The 24,970-nt window shown below is 41.1% G+C and overlaps 1 protein-coding gene across 15 annotated transcripts in view; it reads left to right on the top strand.

Moving 5' to 3' along the window:
* The window catches only part of SSH2 (slingshot protein phosphatase 2), a 304,291-nt gene that overhangs the window by 225,826 nt on the left and 53,495 nt on the right, over window positions 1–24,970 (top strand). For 13 of the 15 annotated variants that reach the window (XM_047436967.1, XM_005258058.4, XM_047436968.1 and 10 more), the window contains 3 exons: window positions 1,341–1,444; window positions 8,880–8,944; window positions 19,719–19,840. In XM_047436967.1, coding sequence (XP_047292923.1) covers window positions 1,341–1,444; window positions 8,880–8,944; window positions 19,719–19,840 — 291 coding nt within the window. The remainder of the gene's footprint in view (window positions 1–1,340; window positions 1,445–8,879; window positions 8,945–19,718; window positions 19,841–24,970) is intronic. The other 2 variants (XM_011525407.1, XM_047436969.1) reach the window with 1 other exon arrangement.

The following is a 24,970-nucleotide window of genomic DNA, read 5'->3' as shown; positions in this document are numbered from 1 at the left end:
ATAGTTACTATCCTCAGCAGTAATTCTCCACCTATATTATCATCTTGTGAATGACAAACTCAAGTAGGTTAAACACACTTCCTGCCTACTACTTTTCACTGAGTATGGGGATACAAGTTGGCAGTAGTAAAATTTTGAGGTAACATTTTACTGTTGTGTATATTTTAAACAAATTTTTTTTGCAAACTTTGGACCTATTACTAGTAGCTAAATATTGTAACATACTTCACATCTGATCAGGACGGTATTGAAACATCATTACTGATAACCTTCTACTAATCTACTTATAATAACTAATATTTATTAAGGGCTTTTTACTGTATGCTAGGCACCACTTTAAGAAGCTCTGTTCTCATTGGCTCTTTACAACAACTTCATTTTATTATCCCTGTTTTACAGATAAGGAAATTTAGGCCTACTCTATTAGGAAGAAGTAAAGCCAGGATTCAAACTCAGGCATTCTGGTTTCAGAGCCTGCGCTCTTAACTGCTGCCATGTAATGTATATAGAATATTGTAAGTTTTGGCTGGGCGCAGTGGCTCACATCTGTAGTCCTAGCACTTTGGGAGGCCGAGGCTGGTGGATCACATGACATCAGGAGTTCAAAACCAGCCTGGCCAACGTGGTAAAACCCCATCTCTATTAAAAATACAAAAATTAGCTGGTCGTGGTGGCTCGCTCCTGTAATCCCAGCTACTCAGGAGGCTGAGGCAGGAGAATTACTTGAACCTGGGAGGCGGAGGTTGTTGCAGTGAGCCGAGATCGCACCACTGCACTCCAGCCTGGGCAACAGAGTGAGACTCCATCTCAAAAAAAAAGAATATTGTAAAGTTTTGTTTCAGAAAACTTGTCTAGAGGCCACGCACAGTGGCTCACGTCTGTATTCCCAGCACTTTGGGAGGCCGAGGTGGGCGGATCATTTGAGGTCAGGAGTTTGAGACCATCTTGACCTACATAGTGAAACACTCTCTACTAATATTCAAAAATTAGCTGGGTGTGGTGGCGGGCGCCGGTAATCCCAGCCTACTCGGGAGGCTGAGGCAGGAGAATCACTTGAACCCAGGAGGCGGAGGTTGCAGTGAGCCAAGATCACGCCACTGCACTCCGGCCTGGGCAACAGAGCAAGACTCCCTTTCAAAAAAGAAAAAGAAAGCAAACTTGTCTAGAGTAGACAGGAGCGTATGAGTGAGTAACCACAGCCTCTCTTGATTATGTTTTTACTTCGTTCCATGAAGTTGGGACTTTGGAATAGAGAAGAGAGAATCCAAAAGTGGTTATCCATCCTACTCTTTGATTTCCTTTCCTAAGTAATTTATTTTCTTTTGACTTTTTCCTTGTAGCATCAGCGAGAGCTTTCTAACTGTCAAAGGTGCTGCCCTTTTTCTACCACGGGGAAATGGCTCATCCACACCAAGAATCAGCCACAGACGGAACAAGCATGCAGGTAATGCTTGCATATACACCATTTCTTTCTTGGTAACTATATCTTTTGTTACATTCTAAAAGGTTGACTACCTCATCCCCATCTCTTCAGAAGTTCTTTAATGGTGAAAGAAAGCATTGTACAGGGCCGTAATGACTTTTACCCTCACAGACCAATTTTTTTAGCGCTTCGCAAAAAGCCTTTTACACATAGTAGATGTTCAATACATTTTTGTTGGAATAATAATAAGACGGTACCAAAATAATGAAGTTATATGGAACTTCTCAGTTAAGATTGGGGTTGTTTTGTTTTGTTTTGTTTTTTTGAGATGGAGTTTCGCTGTGTCACCCAGGGTGGAGTGCAGTGGCACGATCCCAGATCACTGCAACCTCCACCTCCTGGGTTCAAGCGATCCTCTTGCCTCAGCCTCCTGAGTAGCTGGGACTACAGGCGCCCGCCACCACGCCCAGCTCATTTTTGTATTCTTAGTAGAGACAGGGTTTTACCACATTAGCCAGGCTGGCCTCGAACTCCTGACCTCAGGTGATCTGCCTGCCTCAGCCTCCTGAAGTGCTGGGATTACAGACTTCAGCCACCACGCCCGGCCAGGGTTGTTTTTTTTTTTTTGAGACAGACTCTCACTCTGTCACCCAGGCTAGAGTGCAATGGCATAATCTCAGCTCATTGCAACCTCCGCCTCCTGGATTCAAGCAATTCTCCTGCCTCAACCTCCCAAGTAGCTGGGACTACAGGCATGCACCACCACATGCAGCTAATTTTTGTGTTTTTAGTAGAGATGGTGTTTCACCATGTTGGCTAGGCTGGTGTCGAACTCCTGGCCTGAGGTGATCCACCCACCTCAGTTATCCAAAGTGCTAGGATTATAGGTGTGAGTCCCCGCACCCAGCCCTCAGTTAAGGTTTTGAGTGTTCAGATTAAAAATGTTCAGGTGGGCCAGGCACATTGGCTCACAGATGTAATCCCAGCACTTTGGGAGGCTGAGGCAAGAGGATTGCCTGAGTCAAGGACTTTGAGACCGGCCTGGGCAAGATGGTGAAATCCCATCTCTACAAAAAAAAAAAAAAAAAAATTTTAAATTAGCCAAATGTGGCCAGGCACAGTGGCTCACACCTGTAATCCTAGCATTTGGGGACGCCAAGGCAGGTGGATCACCTGAGGTCAGAAGTTCGAGACCAGCCTGGCCAACATGGTGAAACGCTGTCTCTACTAAAAATACAAAAATTAGCTGGGCGTAGTGGTACACTGCTGTAATCTCAGCTGCTCTGGAGGCTGAGGCAGGAGAATCACTTGAACCTGGGAAGCGAAGGTTACAGTGAGCCGAGATCATGCCACTGCACACCAGCCTGGGCAACAGAGCAAGACTCCACTTCAAAAAAAGAAAATTAGTGACGTGTGGTGGTGTACACCTGTGGTCCTAGCTACCTGGGAGGCTGAGGTGGGAGGGTCACTTGAGCCTGGGAGGTTGAGACTGCAGTTAGCCCTCTTTGCACCACTGCACTCCAGCCTTGGTGACAGAGTGGGACCCTGTCTCAAAAAAAAAAAAAAAAAAAAAAAGAGCCAGGCACGGCTCGCGCCTATGATCCCAGCACCTCGGGAGGCCGAGGCAGGTGGATCACCTGAGGTCAGGAGTTTGAGACCAGCCTGGCTAACATGGCGAAACCTCATCTCTATAAAAAATACAAAAATTAGGCCGGGCACAGTGGCTCACGCCTGTAATCCCGGCACTTTGGGAGGCTGAGACGGGCGGATCACAAGGTCAGGAGATCGAGACCATCCTGGCTAACATGGTGAAACTCCGTCTCTACTAAAAATTTAAAAAAATTAGCCGGACATGGTGGCGGGCGCCTGTGGTCCCAGCTATTCAGGAGGCTGAGTCAGGAGAATGGTGTGAACCCGGGAGGCGGAGCTTGCAGTGAGCTGAGATCACGCCACTGCACTCCAGCCTGGGCGACACAGTAAGACTCCATCTCAAAAAAAAAGAAAAAAAGAAAAAAATACAAAAATTAGCAGGCATGGTGGTGCGCGCCTGTAGTCCCAGCTACTCAGGAGGCTGAGGCAGGAGAATTGCTGGAACCTGGGAGATGGAGGTTGCAGTGAGCTGAGATTGCGCTGCTACCCTCCAGCCTGGGCGACAGAATGAGACTCCATCTCAAAAAGAAAAAAAGAAGTTTAGCTGTTCCCTTGAATCTTATTCAGAATTACTTCAACTAATCAAAGATTCAATTTCTGATTTCTTTCTACTGTCTGGTGATGGTATGAGGAGGGGAATGATACAGAATATACTAAGATAAACTTTTTGCTGTGATAATGAGTCATTATGTCACATATTAAAATGCCAGTGTCTGCTACTTGAATGTATACACTAAAAAGACTGGAAATTCAACCCAGAAGGAATCATCAAATGTTCACATAGGAATGAGTATAAGACTCTTGTTTTGAAATATCAACTAACAGTAGTATATGCACTGTATTCTTTTATATTGGATTTCTCTAAAATCAGGAACACCTGTGATGATGAGGTTTTAAAAGAACCGTAGAAAATGTGTCTTAGGGAGAGAGATCTCCAGGTATAGGATATCCACAGTTTAAGAAGATAACCTAATGCTTCTCTTCTACTGGCAGACCTTATTTATCATTTTGGGGAAAAAAAATAAAAGTCAGCCTGAGGACACTAATCCTGATCAGTAGTACAGAAAGAGGTGATTGCTTGTTGTCATAAATGGGCCACTTTGACCACTTATGACCTCCAGGAGTGAAAAAAATTGTAATTACTAAGAAAGGAACAAAGACTACGATAACCTTAAGTGTTTAGGTCAGAGGTAAAAGCCAAAAATATTGGATCCCATTGAGCCAGTAGTTGAGCATAGCTTTAGTCAAGATAATCTCGGCTGTTTTAGTGGCTGCCCTACTACTTGTTTGGGCCTTCACCTAGTTGCAACTGTGGCAGCTCAGAATCATAATCCATTTTGTTTGGACAATATTTTCCTCCTACCAGAACTCTCCAGCCATGGAAAATTTTTTAGAGTAAGGGAAGAAATAACCTCTTTTGGAAATTAGCTTGGATTACACTTTCTAAAACCTTCCTCCCCAGTGCCCAGTACCAGAGGTCGGGTAGGGGAGGACACTTCCCCAAAAAACTTGAATGTGCAGATGAAGTATGCCCACTAAGCTTTTTATTTCTTTTCAGTGTGGATATTTATCCCTTACAGTAAAAAGAAGACAAATTATTGGTTTAAATCCAGTTTGTCTGACTAGAATGTTGGGCAAATTACTCTATGGCATGTGATAGTTAATGGGGTCAGTGGCTTTTAAAGCTCCTGGCACTGGTTGGCATTTTTCTTTGGTCAAACTTCTACACTCAGCTGCCACCCAGGTTTCTACTTGACATTGTTCACTTAGCTTTCCTCATACTAAAAAGAAAAGCAGATTTAACACAAGCTGAATGGACTTGCTTGTGATCCAGACCGGAACAGATGAGGCAGTGCGAGTATAAACTCAGCTTGTAAAAGCCAGGCTGTCACATAAACTGAAGCTGCCTTGGCCAGGCCCACAGTAACTGCAAGTTGATGGCAGAATTGAGAGCAGATCAAGGGCTTACCTTGTCTAGTTGTACTTCCTTATGCATGTTTCTTGAACTAGTTAGAATTTTTTAACTGGGCTGCATTTGAAATATCCAAATACTATTTTGCAATCAAAAAAGGGTATTATGGGTGAATGTCTGCCAGTATTTTAAATGGAAACAATGAAAAGTCTATAAAATCCAATAGAAATTTGAAATTTAGCTCCTAGAAATGAAGTATATGGTAGGGAAATGTAGGGAAGGTTATCTTAATGCTATATCAATATATTGCCTTCTGTTAGACTCTGTGAAGAACAGTTGCCCAGTAGGAAATGATATGCAGTTTGCTCAGAGCAGTAAGTACTTTTTGCAGCTGACAAACCTGAGCTTCCAACTCGCATAAGAAGGCTTACTTGAGTAGGACTCCTGGTTTTTGTCTGAGCTTCAAATAAGCCAGCTGAATCTTTGGGCCAGTAGTGTTTGGAGTGGGGACTTTGGGCTGCTATTTAGGGTTCTCCTCCAGAAGTTCTCCATCCTAAAAATCCTTTCCTCTGGTTATTTCTACTGGTAGGACAGAAGGAAACTTAATTTTAAAGAAGCTCAGCCCTGGTGCAGTGGTCTGTGCCTGTAATCCCAGCATTTTGGGAGGCCGAGGCAGACAGATTGCTTGAGCTTAGGAGTTTGGGACCAGCCTGGGCAACATGGTGAAACCTCATCTCTACAAAAAATACAAAAAATTAGCTAGGCGTTGTGGTGCACAACACCTAGGGTAGTTAGTCCTGGCTACCCTGGAGGCTGAGGTGGGAGGATTGCTTGAGCCCAGGAGGTCACAGCTGTAGGGAGCTGTGATAGCGCCACTGTACTCCAGTCTGGGTGGTAGAGTAAGACCCTGTCTCAAGAAAAAAATAAAATAAAAAGTATCCTCAGTTGCTTAACTCAGTTGCAACTTGTAACTCCGGTAGCTTTTCACTGTTTATACCTAACACTTTGTCTCCTCATACTTGTTCTTTTATTTTTTGTTTAACAGCTTTATTGAGATATAATCCACATACCATATAATTCACCCAGTTTACTCATTTAAAGTGTACATGCATTGGTTTTTAGAATAGTCACAGAGTTGTACAGCCATCACCACAATCTAATTTTAGAACATTTTTATCGCCCTGAAAATAAACCCGATGTCCATTAGCAGGCACTCCCTATTTCTCTCACCCTCTCTACCAGCCCTAAGCAACCACTAATCTACTTTCTGTCTCTATAGATTTGCCTATTCTGGATGTTCTGTAAATGGATTCATATGAATGGATTTTTGAGTTAGGCTCCTTTTACTTAGCATGTTTTCAAAGGTCATCCATGGTATAGTATGTATCAGTACATCATTCCTTTTTATGACCAAATAATATTACATTTTGTGGATAATACCACATTTTATTTATCCATTCATCATTTGATAGACATTTGAGTTGTTTCCACTTTTTTGCTATTATGAATAATGCTGTATTATAGATGTGTGTACAACTTTTTGGGTGGACATACGTTTTGATTTCTCTTGGGTTTGTGCATATGAGACTTAGATTGTGTCCCTGGCCTTGAAATGTAGTAGAATGGATCTGGCCAAACATAATGACTCTCCATTTTAATTTTGAAAATTGAAAGATTCTGCAATATGGAATTAATTGGTCAGAAGCCAGCAGTGAAAACCATCCTTTTTGGTTTGGGGTGGGGGAGTTGTTTGGTTTTTGTTTATTTATTTATATTTAAATATAAGGTCTTGCTCTGTCACCCAGGCTGGAGTGCAGTGGCATGATCATAGCTCACTAGCCTCAAGCACTCCCCCGCTTCAGCCTCCCAAAGTGCTGAGATTAAGAAAACTATTCTGTATGAGAAGGAAAGAGGGAGAAGAAAGGAAAGGCTTTCAGACTTGCTGACCATTTAGACAAACGCACCAACCCGTTTGCCAACCTATTTTTTTTTCTTCCTGCCTCTATCCACTTCTTGTACATAACAGTATTTCATCTCATAATTAACAGCTATTAGTTAACTGAAGGAAAATTATGTAGATTTCAAGACCAATGTGAGAACAAGTTATACTGGCATTCATGGTTATGTGACTATGTCAGTCACCTTAGACTTTAATAAGGGCAAGATCTGAGTGGGCAAGAATGAGGTTTTTTTGTTCACAGATTTTCATAATTTATGATAGTACATTATTTATCTCCTGCTATCTAAAGCCTCAGATTTCCTAGGAATATGAGGAAATCTATAATAGTTAAAACAAAGAAATTTCAACTTAGTTTGACAAGATGTATAAGAACAAGTGAAGATTCAAATAATGGTTGGCCATTTTAAAGAACCTAATAATATGTTCAGGAGAATATATATCCCTTATGTGGCATACTTAATATATACTCTCATTGGCCAGGCACTGTGGCTCACGCCTGTAATCCCAGCACTTTGGGAGGCCGAGGCAGGCGGATCACAAGGTCAGGAGATCAAGACCATCCTGGCTAACACGGTGAAACCCCATCTCTACTAAAAATACAAAAAATTAGCCGGGCATGGTGGCAGGCGCCTGTAATCCCAGCTACTCGGGAGGCTGAGGCAGGAGAATGATGTGAACTTGGGAGGCGGAGCTTGCAGAGCAGAGATCGCACCACTGCACTCCAGCCTGGATGACAGAGCGAGACTCTTGTCTCAAAAAATACACACACACACACACACACACACGTACGTATATATATACATACATAGGTGTGTGTGTGTGTGTGTGTGTGTGTATATATATATGTATATATGTTTTTGAGACAGAGTCTCGCTGTGTCGCCCAGGCTGGAGTGCAGTAGCGCAATCTTGGCTCTGCAAGCTCTAGCATGAGTTTTAATTTTTTTTTGAGATGGAGTCTCGCTCTGTCGCCCACACTGGAGTGTAGTGACTGATATTATAATGACAGTATATATATACACACACATATATGTGTATATATATTTATATGTATGGATATGTATAAATATAAATATATATTTATATGTATGGATATTATGAGAGTATATATATACACACATATGTGTATATATGTATGTATATTTATATACATATATGCATGTGTATATACATATATATACGTGTGTGTGTATATATATATTTTTTGAGACGGAGTCTCACTCTGTGTATATGTATACGTATATACATATGTGTGTGTGTGTGTGTGTGTGTGTGTGTGTGTGTATATATATACATACTCTCATTATAATATCAGTCACTACACTCCAGCGTGGGTGACAGCGAGACTCCATCTCAAAAAAATTAAAATAAATAATAATAATATCAGTCACTAATATGAAAATCATTTTAAACTATTGACCTTATTCTAGGGAGAATCCAAAAGTCTTCCTAGGTCAAATGCAACCGAAGCATATAATTATAGAAATAGGAATGAAAAAATGGTTAGCTTTTTAAAAGTTATGGATAATTCCTCTAACACTACACTACTACACCCATTTTCAAAGTGCCCTCATTGCTACCTTCAGTGGGCCCAAAAACAGCCAGTGGGTGCTACCTCTGCCTAACAGATCTCACCAACAAGTCTCTCATGAACATCCACCATAATACAAAACTGAGACTGGTCTCAAGTGTACCTTTCATAGAACAGACATAAATTTTAATGTAGTATAGACTAAAAGCAAATGTATTAAGATGCAGTCTAGCAGTCTGTCTTTCCATTTTAAAAGAAGTTAATAATCATTTAATTTCTATGTCTAATTAGAGTCCTTTAATGAATCAGAACTTTCTTTTACAAAAGTCACTAAAGTAGAAGGAATCCTCTCTGTCAACATTAGAATGGAGAATAATTATCCTTTGGTTTGTAAATTTCACCAGGCGATCTCCAACAGCATCTCCAAGCAATGTTCATTTTACTCCGCCCAGAAGACAACATCAGGCTGGTAAGTTAGTGGTGTCATCATAATTTTCTTCCTCAAAAGACTATCTAAGATAGCCAAAATTGAACAGTCATTTTTACATCCCAACACAGTGCTGGGAACTATGTGAAGTAAGAGAGAAGATAATGTGGAGTGTTGTGAAATAATTTGATGGTTTAAGACTGTTGGTAAGCACCAATTTGTAAGTTATTAACTATAATTACAATTGAAGTTCAGAAAATGGAGAAAAACCTTGGGGATTTGACCTAGATTAGGAAGATTTATGTAGTCAGTGGAGCTTGAGCTGACTGTTGAAAGATGATGAGATTTGGATTGGTAGAAAGAAATTATTCTAGATAAGGACTTAACAAGCAAAAACACACATAGGGAAGGACAAGGAGGGAGTGAAATGGCCAAAGATTGATGCTGGCTTCAGACTCAGGAGACGTGGACTTAGGTCTTTACTAATCATACGATACTGGACAAGTTACTTTACCCTGTCTGTGCCCATTTCCTCATCTCCTGACTACCTCTCACGTTGAGAGGGTCAACTGGACATGAAAACATACTGCATAGTGCAAAATGCTGTCTAAGTATGGGGATTATTATTATGATTATTGGGAAGATAGAGACTAGAAAACAAGGCAGGCAAATATGGATTTAGTGCTGTAAACTGGAGGTCTCAAACTGGCAGTGTATAGGCCAGAGATACATTTTGTTTGGATCACAGTGTTTTTTTAAAAAAACATAAGCCAGAATTTTAAAGTTAGGTGAGATCTAGCATGGGTTCTTAATTTACCATAATCCTCTTTGTGAGACGGAGTCTTGCTCTTTTGCCCAGGCTGGAGTGCAGTGGCACAATCTCGGCTCACTGCAACCTCCACCTCCCAGGTTCGATCGATTCTCCTGCCTCAGCCTCCCGAGCAGCTGGGACTACAGGCGCACACTACCATGCTCAGCTAATTTTTGTATTTTTAGTAGAGATGGGGTTTCACCGTATTGGACAGGCTGGTCTCGAACTCCTGACCTCGTGATCCACCCACCTTGGCCTCCCAAAGTGCTGGGATTACAGGCGTGAGCCACAGTGCCCAGCCCCTATTGTCTTCTTAAGTCAAGTGTCACCATTTGTCATCATTCCTGCACTGTTGTAGTAATACCTCCAATAAAACTAGGAAAACAAAACTGAGATGACCATATTTCTTTGTGGAAATTGGAAAGTATTTCTACCCATTCAATATTCACGTGGCTTACTTTCCTTATTTACATTTCCCATCTGAGCCTCTCAGGGGTGTCCAATCATTTGGCTTCCCTGGACCACACTGGAAAAAGAAGAATTGTCTTGGGCCACATATAAAATACACTAACGATAGCTGATGAGCTTAAAAAAAAAATCACAATATCTCATAATGTTTTCAGAAAGTTTATGAATTTATGCTGGGCCACATTGAAAGCCATCTTGGGCCACGGGTTGCACAAGCTTGCTGCCTGCTCTAGATTACTAACTAAAGGTAGTACCTCTCCCTTTTCAATAAGCACTTGTGAAACATTACAGGTTTTTGAGCCAAAGAATGCCGTGGGACAGCTATAGTAGTTAGGGAAGATTCCTCAGAAGCTAATACAGAATAGAGAGGAGGAAAAGATCATTTTAAATCAGGGAGGCCTGCTAGGGTAGTTATTGCAGTAATCTAGGTATGTGGTAATGAGTCCTTTGATTAGAATATATAAAAATTTAAAGGAATCTTTTCATAGTTATTTTATATCTTAATTTTAATTTTTTAAATGTTTTATATCCTAACCAAAAGTAACATTATACATTTATATAAATCTTGTCTGTATTTCTTGATATATTTCTTTCTTAAATAATTATCTAAGGCCAGGCACAGTGGCTCATGCCTGTAATCCCAACACTTTGGGAGGCCGAGGTGGGCAGATCATTTGAGGTCAGGAGTTCAAGACCAGCCTGGCCAACATGGTAAAACCCTGTCTCTACTAAAAATACAAAAATTAGCCAGGTGTGTTGGCACACACCTGTAGTCCCAGCTACTCAGGAGGCTGAGGCAGGAGAATCACTTGAACCCAAGAGGCGGTGGTTGCAGTGAGCCGAGATTGTGCCATTACACTCCAACCTGGATGACAGAAGAAGATTCTGTCTCAAAAAATAATAATAATGTTATTATTATTATTTAAAAGGGAACGGGGGGGATGCTATTCTTACAGTATTAATAATCTGGAGTGATTGGGGTGTGGTGGCTCATGTCTGTAATCCTAGCACTTTGGGAGGCCAAGGCAGGAGGATCGCTTGAGCCCAGGAGTTCAAGACCAGCCTAGGCAACATGGCAAAACCCTGTCTCTACAAAAAGTAAAAAATTGGCTGGGCATAGTGGCATGCCAGCTACTCGGGAGGCTGCAGTGGGAGTATTGCTTGAGCCTGGCAGGTCAAGGCTGCAGTGAGCCATGATCACGCCACTGCCCTCAACCTGGGCAACAGTGCAAGACCCTCTAATAATAATCATCATCATCATCTGAAGCAATGATTCTCCAACTTTAAAGTATATCAGAATCACATGGAGAGCTTTGTTAAATCACCAATTGGTGGACTCCACATGCAGAGTTCGATTAGTAAAGGGGAAGCAGAGATAATTTGTATTTTTAAGCCAGTTTCGAAACACTGCTGATGCTGCTGATCCAGGAATCACACTTGGAGTACACCTCTTTGAAAACCCATAACAACAGTCACTTGCACATACTGGATGCCCAATAAATATTTGCTGATAGCTTTCAACATTTGTGTGTTTTGGTAAAGCTAAAGCTTTAAAGAGATCTAACATCACTTTATCGTTTTCTCATTGATAACCTTCTGGAATTTGGTTTGAACCTCTAAATATTAAAATAATTTTAACTACATAGAGACTTGGAAGAACATGAAGGAAGCAGTTACAAAGGCAGAGCTGGCAATTCTTTTCTTACTAAAATATGCATCTTCAGCTGCTTTACATTTATAAAATATAAATTCAGAAAATGTAACTGATGCCTCTGAATTCAAAGTTCAAATGACAAGCCGTTTTACAGTTGTTTTGAGTTGTTACAAACACATAGTCATTATGTTTCAGCTTATTGAGTGAGTCATCTTCAAGAAAATGAGTCAATGCATTGTATGACTTTGGACAAATTAGCACTTCTGTAACTGAAAGGAGCATTTGTAGACTCAAAGCAAAGGCTTTTGTTTTGAGTTAAATTTGTAATGCTGAAACTCTGAAGATTTGTGCAGAAGGTTAAAAGTTTGATAGTCAACTGAAAGTCTTGTTTTTTTTTTTTTATTTTTTATTTATTTATTTATTTTTTTGAGACAGAGTCTTGCTCTGTCGCCCAGTCTGGAGTGCAGTGGCTCGATCTTGGCCCATTGCAACCTCTGCCTCCCGAGTTCAAGTGATTCTCCTGTCTCAGCCCCCCGACTAGCTGGGATTACAGGCCCATGCCACCATACCCGGCTAATTTTTTGTATTTGTAGTAGAGACAGGCTTTCACCATGTTGGCCAGGCTGGTCTTGAACTCCTGACCTCAAGTGATCTGCCCATCTCGGCCTCCCAAAGTGCTGGGATTACAGGCATGAGCCACCGCGCCCGGCTGAAAGTCTTGACTTCATTTTTTAAATAACCCAACCAAACCACACATTTTGCTTTAGCATTGAAAATAAGCCGGGCACAGTGGCTCACGCCTATAATCCCAGCACTTTGGGAGGCCGAGGCGGGTGGATCACGAGTTCAGGAGATCGAGACCATCCTGGCTAACACGGCGAAACCCCGTCTCTACTAAAAATACAAAAAATTAGCCGGGCGTGGTGGCAGGTGCCTGTAGTCCCAGCTACTCAGGAGGCTGAGGCAGGAGAATGGTGTGAACCCGGGAGGCAGAGCTTTCAGTGAGCCGAGATCGTGCCACTGCACTCCAGCCTGGGCAACAGAGCGAGACTCTGTCTCAAAAAAAAAAAAAGAGAGAAAATAGGACAAAGCCAATCTTTTCCTCCAGGGAAGCTCTGTGTTCCAAATACAGGCATCAAGCATTAACTGTAGTACTTAGAAAAACTGTAGCTAGTAAAATAAAGAAAGTGGTTTTATAGTACTCTTGCACGTTACCAAAGATCAACCATTTAATTAAAACATTAATCTGAGAAATTAAGAATTTTCAGGACATTTGAAGTAATTTCAATTGATGTTCTTAACTAAAGCTGAAGTGTTGATAAGGTACAAAGAGGTCTTTTTTGAGTATTTTGCAGGAGAATTCAAGAAAATGAGAAGTTTTATGATTTTGGTTTTCATCATATGTTGCTTTCTAAAATGGAAATTGGTTCATTTTTTCTAGCTATAAATGTATTATGTGGGGTTTTTTTTTCTCCCAAACAATGCAAAAAGGTATAAATAAAATAAAAATCACTCTGTATTCTACATTCTGAGAAAATCGTTCTCAGCAATTTGGATAAGTATCCTTCCACTCTTTTTTTAAATATGTATATATGAGAGAGAGAGTGTGTGTGTCTATGTGTGTGTGTGTGTCTGTGTGTGTGTGTGTGTAAAGAGTGAGAGGAAGAGCATTGTTTTGTTTCTACGAAAATGTGATAAAAATAGAAATACCTTTTTGTAACCTACTTTCTTCATAGTTTATCATGGATATCTTTCCATGTCAATAAATAAATCATGGTTTTTAATGGCTACACAGAATATAATTCATATTTAAGAATTTCATACAGACTGATTTAAAAAAAAATTCAGAGACTTCCTGAAGCTCTAATCTTTTTCTTTTGAAGACAGTGTTCTTTAGTTTACTAGTGTCACAAGTGAAGCCTGTTTTAATTTTGGCTATTGATTTTGCTTCATTCTTTTGACTAGCATTTAATATTTACCTACTTTTGGAACCTTTCTCTCTGATGGATTGGGTGAACTGCCTGTCTTAGACATTGGGCCTTTATAATGTAGTTTACTGGGGGTAATTAATTTCTTTTCACCAAGAGTCTTACATCATGCACACAGGGGCATGCATGTAAGACTCTTGGTGTAAAGAAATTAAGTCTTTTTTTTTTTTTTTTTGAGACAGAGTTTCACTCTTTTGCCCAGGCTGGAGTACAATGGCGCAATCTTGGCTCACCACAACCTCCGCCTCCCAGGTTCAAGCGATTCTCCTGCCTCAGCCTCCTGAGTAGCTGGGATTACCGGCATGCGCCACCACGCCTGGCTAATTTTTTGTATTTTTAGGAGAGACCGGGTTTCTCCATATTGGTCTGGCTGGTCTTGAACTCCCGACCTCAGGTGATCTGCCCGCCTTGGCTTCCCAAAGTGCTGGGATTATAGGCGTGAGCCACTGCACCCAGTGGTGAAAAGAAATTAAAGGCAAAGTTACAGTTTAAGCTTAAGGAGGAGTATTTCCTGATGTTAGATGATGCTGAGGAGAGAAGCTCTTTTTTTTTTTTTTTTTTTTTTTTGAGATGGATCTCGCTTTGTCACCCAGGCTGGAATGCAGTGGTGTGTTCTCGGCTTATTGCAGCCTCTGCCTCCTGGGTTCAACTGATTCTCACGACTCAGCCTCCTGAGTAGCTGGGATTACAGGTACATGCCATGATGCCCTGCTAATTTTTGTATTTTTAGTAATACTCCCACTGCAGCCTCCCGAGTAGCTGGCATGCCACTATGCCCAGTTTGTAAACTGCTTGTAATTAGGTTAAACATTTAAATTGGATGCCGAGGGAATAGCATTATTCTTTAATAGATGAGCTTTGAAAACAGATTGGGTTCTTCAGGAATAAAGAGGCAGGGGATGACTTCTCAGACCTACTTCAGTCCTAAGATTGCTGGATCCAATTCACCTGTAACTTGTAATAGGATTCCACATTTAGGCAGTAAATGTAGTTTCTTGGAAATATAATCTTAGTTACTATTGCTGCCAAGTTTTAAAGTCCAGAATAATTGTTTTGTTTAGACAATTAAAATGGACTTCAGTAGTGTCCTTTTCAAGGAGAACTTTAGTTGATAAATCAAATGCATCTCAATTATTGTCTTATTCCAGTCATTGATTTCAATATAGGTTCTGGAGACTGAAGAAACATTGGAAATGCTGTCCTTTTCAAAATTAGGATATTATGTACAAAATTGCCATTTTAAATTTATTTGATTGTGTTAATAAATTATTAGATTTTGCTTAATCTTATCTCCAACAGAGGAATACGAAATAAACCTTAAACCAGGATGGGCGTTAGACTTTTCCTTATGGCTGCGGCACATAGATTTTTAATTCCTTAACCTAGAATCTTGAAGCTTAAAAGGAACTTTTTTTTTTTTTTGAGAGTCTCACTTGCCCTGTCGCCCAGGCTGGAGTGGAGTGGCGTGATCTCAACCTACTGCAACCTCCTCCTCCTGGGTTCCAGCAATTCTCCTGCCTCAGCCTCCTGAGTAGCTGGGATTATAGACACATGCCACCACACCCAGCTAATTTTTTTTGTATTTTTAGTAGAGAGAGGATTTTGCCCTGTTGGCCAGCTGATCTCGAACTCCTGACCTCAAGCGATCCACCTGCCTCAGCCTCCCAAAGTTTTGGGATTACAGACGTGAGCCACTGCGCCCGGCCTAAAAGGAACTTTAATTAAAGTCTTGGGTTTATCCCCTCACATTTCAGAATTTTTTCTTCAAAGATTTTTATCTCATCCTTCTAATTAGGATATAGGTGTTGAATCAATACTGTAGGTACTGTCTAGAGGCCTGTGATCAAATTCCAGGAACTCTTAAGTGCTATTCTTCCATTTAAGAAGCTTAAAATTGACCAGTCTGGACAACATGGTGAAACCCCATCTCTACCAAAGATACAAAAAATTAGCCAAGCATGGTGGCGGGCACTTGTGGTCCCAGCTCTTTGGGAGGCTGAGGTGGGAAGATTGCTGGACCCCGGGAGGCAGAGGTTGCAGATCACACCACTGCATTCCAGCCTGGGTAACAGAGTGAAACACAAAAACAAAAAAGAAGCTTAAAATTGAATGGATCTGAGATATGCATGTTATTCAAGCCTAAGTCAGTATTAAATGTCTGGGGCCCTTCTCATTAGGTTTGGGAACTTCTGTTACAGTTTGAGTAAGCAAGGGAGAGCCAAACATTTGAAATGCTTTTGATATTATAAAATAAACTTTAAAGAGACATCTGGCCGGGCGTAGTGGCTCGCACCTGTAATCCCAGCACTTTGGGAGGCCGAGGCGGGTGGATCACAAGGTCAAGAGATCGAGAGCATCCTGGCCAACATGGTGAAACCCCATCTCTACTAAAAACACAAAAATGAGCCAGGCGCAGTGGCAGGTGCCCGTAATCCCGTTTACTTGGGAGGCTGAGGCAGGAGAACCGCTTGAACCCGGGGGGCGGGGGTTGCAGTGAGCCAAGATCACACCACTGCACTCCAGCCTGGGCGATAGAGTGAGACTCCATCTCGAAAAATAAAAAAAAAAAAACACTAATGTTTGCAATGAATATCACTTACAAAGAAACTCTTGCAGCCCACTTCTAACTTGGCTGGTAACTTGCATTATAGATAATACTTATGAAAGTTATATTTTTCCTTTTATCAGCTTTGACTTAGCCAATCAGTTGCCACTGGTTGGTGTAGGAGCTGTAAATAAATTGTCAGAAACAAAGTTCATTTGTTCCCAGGCCATTTGTATTTGAGCCTTGCCAGAAATTCTTGGAGCGTTGACAGAGAATAAAAGAGCCTCTAACACATTCAGGAAACTTGGGCCAAGGGAGGCCCAAATATAAATATGTAATAATATGCGAGATCTTGTTTATAAGAAAATCCAGTTTACCTGCACCAGGATTTGTGATTAATTAACATGTTGTAGAGTGTTTCTACAATCAGAGAAGGAGTCAGTACTGCCTCCCGGTCTGCCACATGTACATTTACTATTTATTCATTTTTCTGTGTGTATAATATCCCACCCTTGATCCCAGCCTTCTAGATCTTAGTCCATTTAAATGTTAGTTCCGCTTAGCTTCTCATAAGTGAATTTGGTTTTAAATGCTCAATTACTTCATGGAACATGAAGTCAAAAGTACAGCTCTCTATCTTATGCATTTGGCATCAGAATGGTAAGCATTACATTCTTGTTATATCCGTTCTTATTAGAAACAAGATTTAATGTAGCCACTTCTGCTGTTTGTGCTTCCCTAGCTTTTCCTAGGAGTATCAGAATAGAGACAAAAAGATAGCCATGGGAGTCTCACCTCTGCCTTGCTAAATGGGTCATTTGAGCCGTGTAACTATGCCTCTTTTTCCCTTGGCCTGGCCATTTTGGAATGGTGACAGAGTTAACAGGAGGGAGACTCCAAGAACAGCAGCACTGAAAAAAAAGTTCCAAATAGAAATTTCTGACAAATATAATGAGCCAGTTGATGGATTAGAATTCTGTTTCTCTAAGGAATAGGGGTTATTTTATACAGAAGAATTTGCCTCCAGAGCACATTTTTCTGGCTTCAAAGATCTGTCATTTTGCCAGGTGGGTGGCTCACGCCTGTAATCCCACCACTTTGGGAGGCTGAGGTGGGTGGATCACCTGAGGCAGGAGTTCGAGACCAGCCTGGCCATCTGGCCAACATGGTGAAACCCTGTCTCTATAAAAATACAAAAATTAGCCAGGCATGGTGGCATGTGCCTGTAATCCCAGTTACTTGGGAGGCTGAGGCAGGAGAATCGCTTGAACCCAAGAAGCGGAGGTTGCAGTGAGCCGAGATCACGCCATTGCACTCCAGCCTGGGTGACAGAGGGAGACTCTGTCTCAAAAAAACAAAAAGAAAAGGCTGGGTGCAGTGGCCCGTGCATGTAATCCTAGCACTTTGGGAGGCCAAGACAGGTGGATTGCCTGAGTTCAGAGTTCGAGACCAGCCTGGGCAACATGGTGAAACCCCATCTGTACTAAAATACAAAAAAAAAAAAAATTAGCCGGGCGTGGCAGCATGTGCCTGTAGTCCCAGCTACCCAGGAGGCTGAGGCAGGAAAATTGCTTGAACCTGGGAGGTGGAGGTTGCAGTGAGCCGAGATCACACCACTGCACTCCAGCCTGAGAGGCAGAGCAAGACTCCGTCTCTTAAAAAAAAAAAAACTGTCATTTTAAAACTATTATTAACAAATGAAAGAAGAGTAGCCTAGACTATATAACTCGATGAGGGCATAGATCATGTCTCTCTCTTCTACCACTGAATCCTCAGCACTTGGCATTGTTATTGTATATATAATATATGTGTAATAAATATTTGAATGTGTTGCCTGTAGTTGTTTTATTTTTAAGGCTTATAAGATACCTTTTTGAACTTATCAAGGCTGGGCGCGGTGGCTCACGCCTGTAAACCCCAGCATCTTGTGAGGCCGAGGTGGGCAGACCACCTGAGCTTGGGAGTTTGAGACCAGCCTGACCAACATGGAGAAACCCCGTCTCTAATAAAAATACAAAACTAGCTGGATGTGGTGGCGCATGCCTATAATCCCAGCTGCTCGGGAGGCTGAGGCAGGAGAATCGCTTGAACTCGGGAGGCAGAGGTTGCGGTGAGCCGAGATCACACCATTGCACTCCAGCCTGAGCAACAAGAGCGAAACTCTGTCTCAAAAAAAAAAAAAGAAAAAGAAAAGAAAGAAAGAAAGTACATCCTCACAAACTCATTACTGAGCTTTTTTTTTTTTTGAACCAGAGTCTCACTCTGTCACCCAGGCTGGAGGGCAGTGGGGTGATCTCAGCTCACTGCAACCTCCGCCTCCTGGGTTCCAGTGATCCTCCTGCCTCAGCCTCCTAAGTAGCTGGGATTACAGGCGTGCGCCACCACGCCCAGCTAATTTTTTTTGTATTTTTGGTAGAAACAGTGTTTCACCATGTTGGCCAGGCTGGTCTTGAACTCCTGACCTCTGGTGATCTGCCTACCTTGGCCTCCCAAAGTGCTGGGATTACAGGCATGAGCCACCGTGCCTGGCCATTACTCAGCTTTAATAACCATCAACCTTTTGTCTGATTTCTTTCATCTGTCCCCACTCCCTGTTAAATTTTTTTGTTGGAACATTTTAAAGTAAAACTCAGAAACCATGTCATTTCACTCCAGGTACTTAAGAAAAAGTCACAGTAACCACAATGCTGTTATTACATTAACAGTAAATCCTTAATTTCATCTAAGACCCTGTCCATATTCAGATTTTCTGAGGGTCCTTTTAAAATTTAATTAAGAATAAATTAAAACTTTTGACAAAAAATGAGAAGTTTCTAAAAATGCAATCTCCTTTCATTATCATCGAAACTGAAGAAAATCTTATAGTGCATTAACATGCAGGAATTCAGTATAGCAAAGTCAGTACTCCCCTTAGATGATGCTAATAGTTTGCTCCATATTATAATTGTTTGTGGGAATTGCATCTCTGAGACCAATGCTCACATTCATATACCTCACATTTCCCTCTTCAGTCTTTATTACACACTGTGGTAATTAGTATAAATTGCACTAATAACAAACATCTTATTGAGCATTTACTGTGTGCCAAGCACTGTGCTTTACTGTATTATTTTATAAGATTCTTAAAACAACCTGACAGTTAGGTATTATTATATCTCCCTCCAATTAATTTAGTAACTTACCAAAGTTTTTATAGCTAGTGTACGAGCTGAGATTTTAATTTATGTCTCCTAACTACTGGCTCTGCTGCCTTCGTGAGTATGCTTTAAGATGCTGATGAAAAAGGGTTGAAATGATCTGAAATTAATGTCCTAAATTTCATAATTTCTCTGTTGTCTGCTAAATTCCAGGCTGTAAGACTGGAAAGTACTTACCAGAATCGAACACGCTATATGGTAGTGGTTTCAACTAATGGTAGACAAGACACTGAAGAAAGCATCGTCCTAGGAATGGATTTCTCCTCTAATGACAGGTATGGTGGTACCATTTCAAAATGTGAAAACTGCTTTTTAAGTAACCTGTTCCAGTTGCTTTTTTTTTTTTTTTTTTTTAATGGGGACGGAGTGTCATCACTCTGTTGCCCAGACTAGAGTGCAGTGGCTCAATCTCGGCTCACTGCAACCTCCGCCTCCCGGGTTCAAGCGATTCTCCTGCCTCAGCCTCCTGAGTAGCTGGAATTACAGGTGTACACCACTATGCCAAACTAATTTTTGTATTTTTAGTAGAGATGGGGTTTTGCCATATTGGCCAGTTTCAAACTCCTGACCTCAAGTGATCCACCCACCTCAGCCTCCCAAAGTACTGAGATTACAGGCGTGAGCCACCGTGCCTGGCCCCAGTTGCCTTTTATCACAAAAATATCTTGTGCAGTTCTGCTGTTAAAGTACAAGACATAAAACTAAAGAACATAAGTATCTTAGCCACAGTCTTGAGAAACAAGAATGTTTAGTGAATGTCTTTGGTCGTGTGTTTCCAATTTACCATTATTCCATACCTTCATCTCATCTTTAGATAGTCACAATATAAAGCAAGTGGTTTCAAAGTTACATTTCCATGGAAAAAAAGCTGCCTTTTTATTTCTCTTTTTGAGACAGCGTCTCGCTCTGCTGCCCAGGCTGAAGTGCCGTGATGCAGTCACAGCTCACTACGGCCTCAAATTCCTCCTGGGCTCTAGGAATCCTTCCACCTCAGCCTCCTAAGTAGCTAGAAGTACAGGCATGCACCACCATACCCAGCTATTTGGTCTTTTTTTTTTTTTTTTCCTTATTTTTCTGGAGAGAAGATTTCCTTATGTTGGCCAGGCTGGTCTTGAATTCTTGGGCTTAAGCAATCCTCCCACTTCGGCTTCCCAAAGTGCTGGGATTACAGGCATGAGCCTTGCACCTGGCCTACTCTATTGTAGTCAGTAATGATTCACTTTGGTGATTCTAGGGCACCTACCCTTTGTGGTAGTATACCAGTAGTCCCAGATACAAAGAGATCCCACTTAAACTACAGTCTGTTTTGTTTAAACCTTGCTTTTACCAAATGCTATGCCTCCTTTTTCCTTCTATTGAGTTAAAAAGGATGGTGGGCGGGGCGGGGATGGGGTGGTACGGGATGGCTCCTTAAACTCAAAGCAGAACTTTTTATGTACCTTTGGCTTTAGCTGTACTTTACATTCTATGATGAAAGATGACACACAACACCTGGCCTTTTCGTGTGTCCTTAAGGTTTGTTGCTTTCCTTTTTTATTTTTCCCACTTTTTCTGGAGAAACCTTCGGAAGACTTTGGAATGTGGCTGCTAAGCAGATCTTTACGCTGTGGATAATTAGCCTCAGGAAATCCTGCCAGATGTCTCAAAGCATTGACTTCCTGGTTCAGGATTAGAATGGAACTATGGGGTAGCTAGGGGTGTGACCCAGGCCTAGGGAAATTTAGCCACAAAGAGAGGAGGAGCCTGGGAATGATTCTAATTTTCCTGATGTTGAGGGGAAAAAATCACTTTGTCACTAGAAAGTTTCCCAAACCAATGTTTACCTTATTCCTATATAGAAGTCAACCTGAAAATGACTTGGGGGTTCACAGGAATTCCCAAAGCCAAAGTTATTAGCTTGTATACCACTTAACAGCATTTAATTGTAGGCTCTGAATTTACACAGGCTTGTAAACCAGATTTAGGAAGATTTCTCCTGCATGGTTTTAACTTCTGATTAAGCAACAGAGCTTTCAGTAAGCATTTTCCTATAACAGCACCTACCTTGTTTACATTCATTAGGATTTTAGGACCTCTAATTTAGGTTTTTAATCTTTCTAGATCTGTGTTGTCCAGTATAGTAGCCACTAACCATATGTGCCCCTTCCTTCCTTCTTGCCTGCCTGCCTTCCTTCCTTCTTTCATCTTCCTTCCTTTTCTCTTCTCTTCTTTTCTTTTTTCCTTTTTGTGAAGAACACAGTCTCTCTGTGTTGCCCAGGCTGGTCTCAACTCCTGAGCTCCTGCCTCTGCCTTCCTGAGTGCTGGGATTATAGGCATGAGCCACTGCATACAGCATGCACGTGTCTTTTTAAATAGATTAAAATTAAATGAAATTTCAATTCCTCAGTTCTAACTAGTCACATTTCAAGTATTCAGTAACCGTATGTGCTAGTGGCTATCGTATTAGACAGTACATGTATAGAACATTTTCCATTCTTGCAGAAAGTTCAGTTGGACAGCACTGTTCTAGCTCATATTTCCTTTGTTCAGTTCTCCCTGACCCCCTCCCTTGAAAACCCTATAAAACAGGAACAGGAACCTCATGAAGCTTCAATTGAATCTTCCCCTAGAGACAGAAGACAATAACTGCAGATTCTCCTGACCCAGAATATGAGCAAGCACATGTCTAATCATTTCTCTTTCACTTTGTCCTAAACTTTACCAGAAAGAATGCATATTAATATAGGTATCCAGTAGTTTATACTCAGTAAATTACATCTATCTTTTGCCAATGGCCCTGTCTGAATCATATCTGACCAGTGTCACTAGCCAAAGGAAATTATAGTTTATAGAAGACAAACTTAAAACATGAAAAGCTAGAAACTAGTTTTCATTCTGTTTGCTAAACTTGCTATTATGAAATTCCCATACATCCTCTGCTTTAATGAGTTCCTTGGACAGTAAGAAGTCTCAGATGCTCAGGTAATCTAAAATCATTTCTGTCTCAGTTGTTGTTGAAGGAATTTGAATTTGTATCATTTCATATCTGAGAATGTAAATGTTAATGCTTCAAAATAGTATTAAGCCAAAGTGGAACCCAGATTATGACAAGTACAAATAGTTCTTAATAATACGTTGCAGCCAATTCATTTAGCCCATTTACAAGTTCTTTGAGTATTATGTTATATTTTAATAATTTTTTAAATATGCAGCATAATCTTGGTTTCTAAAGTGTAACATATTTTAAGTTATAAAATAATAGAGCTTCATGGTTTTTTGGGGTTTTTTTTTTCCATTTCTTTTTGTACCCCTAACACCTTGAAATGTCTGGTACATAGTAGGCACTAAATAAATTTTTATTGAATGAATTGAATATTTACTAAAATAAGTAGTTATACTTAAATGGAGAAAAATCTTGAGAGACTGAGGTAACCTGGATAAAAATACCAAGCGTGCCTTATTCAGTCCTTTCCTTCCTGTTGCGTGAAAAAGCTACTTTTTTTTTTTTTTTTTTTTTTTTTTTTTTTGAGACAGTCTCACTCTGTGGCCAGGCTGGAGTACAGTGGTGCAATCTCAGCTCACTGCAACCTCCGTCTCCTGGGTTCAAGCGATTCTCCTGCCTCAGCCTCCCAAGCAGCTGGGACTACAGGCGCACACCACCATGCCCAGCTAATTTTTGTATTTTTAGTAGACGGGGTTTCACCATGTTGACCAGGATGGTCTCTATCTCGACCTCGTGATCCGCCCGCCTCTGCTTCCCAAAGTGCTGGGATTACAGGCACCACGCCCTGCTGAAAAAGCTACTTCTTAATGTAAAAAAGCACTCTGGCCTGAATACAAGCCAAAAATGTAATGTCGATTCCTGTATATCAATGTCACTTGTCCAAAGGTTAACCAAAATCTGGTCACAAGCTTATAGATCACACTCTTTTGCAGCTTCTGTATCTTTTTATATAGTTAATTTCTAGATTTGTCATTGGGCTACCAACCCACCATATTTATACTCAAAATTATACTTGTTGCTAAGAACCTGGCTAAGCACTCACTAAATACAAAACAAAAAGCTACTGTAAAACTATCCCCACTTCATCTTGGGAAGCCGTTTTCAAAACAAATTTTTTTGTGCGCTCATCTCATCTACTCAACAAAACTTGTGGTAGAGCTGTCTTGCTCCTGGACTCTGGCATGGTAGCTGTGTTTCTGTTGTTCAGGTCCAGGTTCTAATGTGGATAAGCTGTTTCAGTCTTGATTTGAATCTCCTGAGCTCTGGAATCACTCTTTTTTTTTTTTTTTTTTTTTTTTTTTTTGAGAGGGAGTCTTGCTGTGTCTCCCAGGCTGGAGTGCAATGGCGCAAATCTCAGCTCACTGCAACTTCCACCTCCCAGGTTCAAGTGATTCTCCTGCCTCAGCCTCCCGAGTAGCTGGGATTACAGGTGTCTGTCTGCCCCTGCACCCAGCTAATTTTTGTATTTTTAGTGTAGAGATGGAGTTTCGCCATGTTGGCCAGGCTGGTCTTGAACTCCTGACCTCGGCCTCCCAAAGTGCTGGGATTACAGGCATGAGTCACCGTGCCTGGCCTGGAATCACTCTTAAGGTGTTAAGCAGCACAGGCCAGCAAGTGTAGTGGAAAGCCCAACTAAGGGCTAGCCTCCTTTAACCCTGCAGTGACTAACAGTTAAAGTTTGGTATTCATTATGTTGTTTTTAAAGCATAATGGTTTCCCCTTCCCCCAATCACTTTCAGATATATTAGAGCACCCATTACAGATTCATATTCAACATTTGTTTTACAGGACAGTATATTCACATATATTGTTTTATTTTAAGTATGTTATGTCTTTATACCTATATCTATGAGAATAGGTTTTATTATTCACAGTTCAAGATGAAGAAATTAAGGCTGAGAGAGGTTAAATAATTTGTTTAAAAAAAAGTTGTAATACTGAAGGAAATCAATCCCAGATCTTTTGGCATAGTAGATGTTCAATAAATGGTAATGACTATTACATTTTAGGCACTTAGACACTATTTTACTCTTTTATTTGTTATTTAATCTTCAAAACAGTACAATGAAGAAGATATTTTTATCCCAGTTTTACAAATGAAGAAATTAAGGCACAAGACAGTTAAGTAATTTGCCTAAGATTATACAGTTGCTGGGCGCGGTGGCTCACGCCTGTAATCCCAGCACTTTGGGAGGCCAAGGCGGGTGGATCACCTGAGGTTGGGAGTTCAAGACCAGCCTGACCAATATGGAGAAACCCCATCTCTACTAAAAATACAAAATTAGCTGGGCGTGGTAGTGCATGCCTGTAATCCCAGCTACTCAGGAGGCTGAGACAGGAGAATCGCTTGAACCAGGAGGTGGAGGTTGCAGTGAGCCGATATCACACCATTGCACTCCAGCCTGGGCAACAAGAGTGAAAC

This window comes from Homo sapiens, chromosome 17 (genome assembly GCF_000001405.40).
Source record: "Homo sapiens chromosome 17, GRCh38.p14 Primary Assembly".
NCBI lineage: Eukaryota > Metazoa > Chordata > Mammalia > Primates > Hominidae > Homo > Homo sapiens.
The sequence above is the reverse complement of the archived record's forward strand: the minus strand, read 5'-3'. Positions and strand labels throughout refer to the sequence as shown.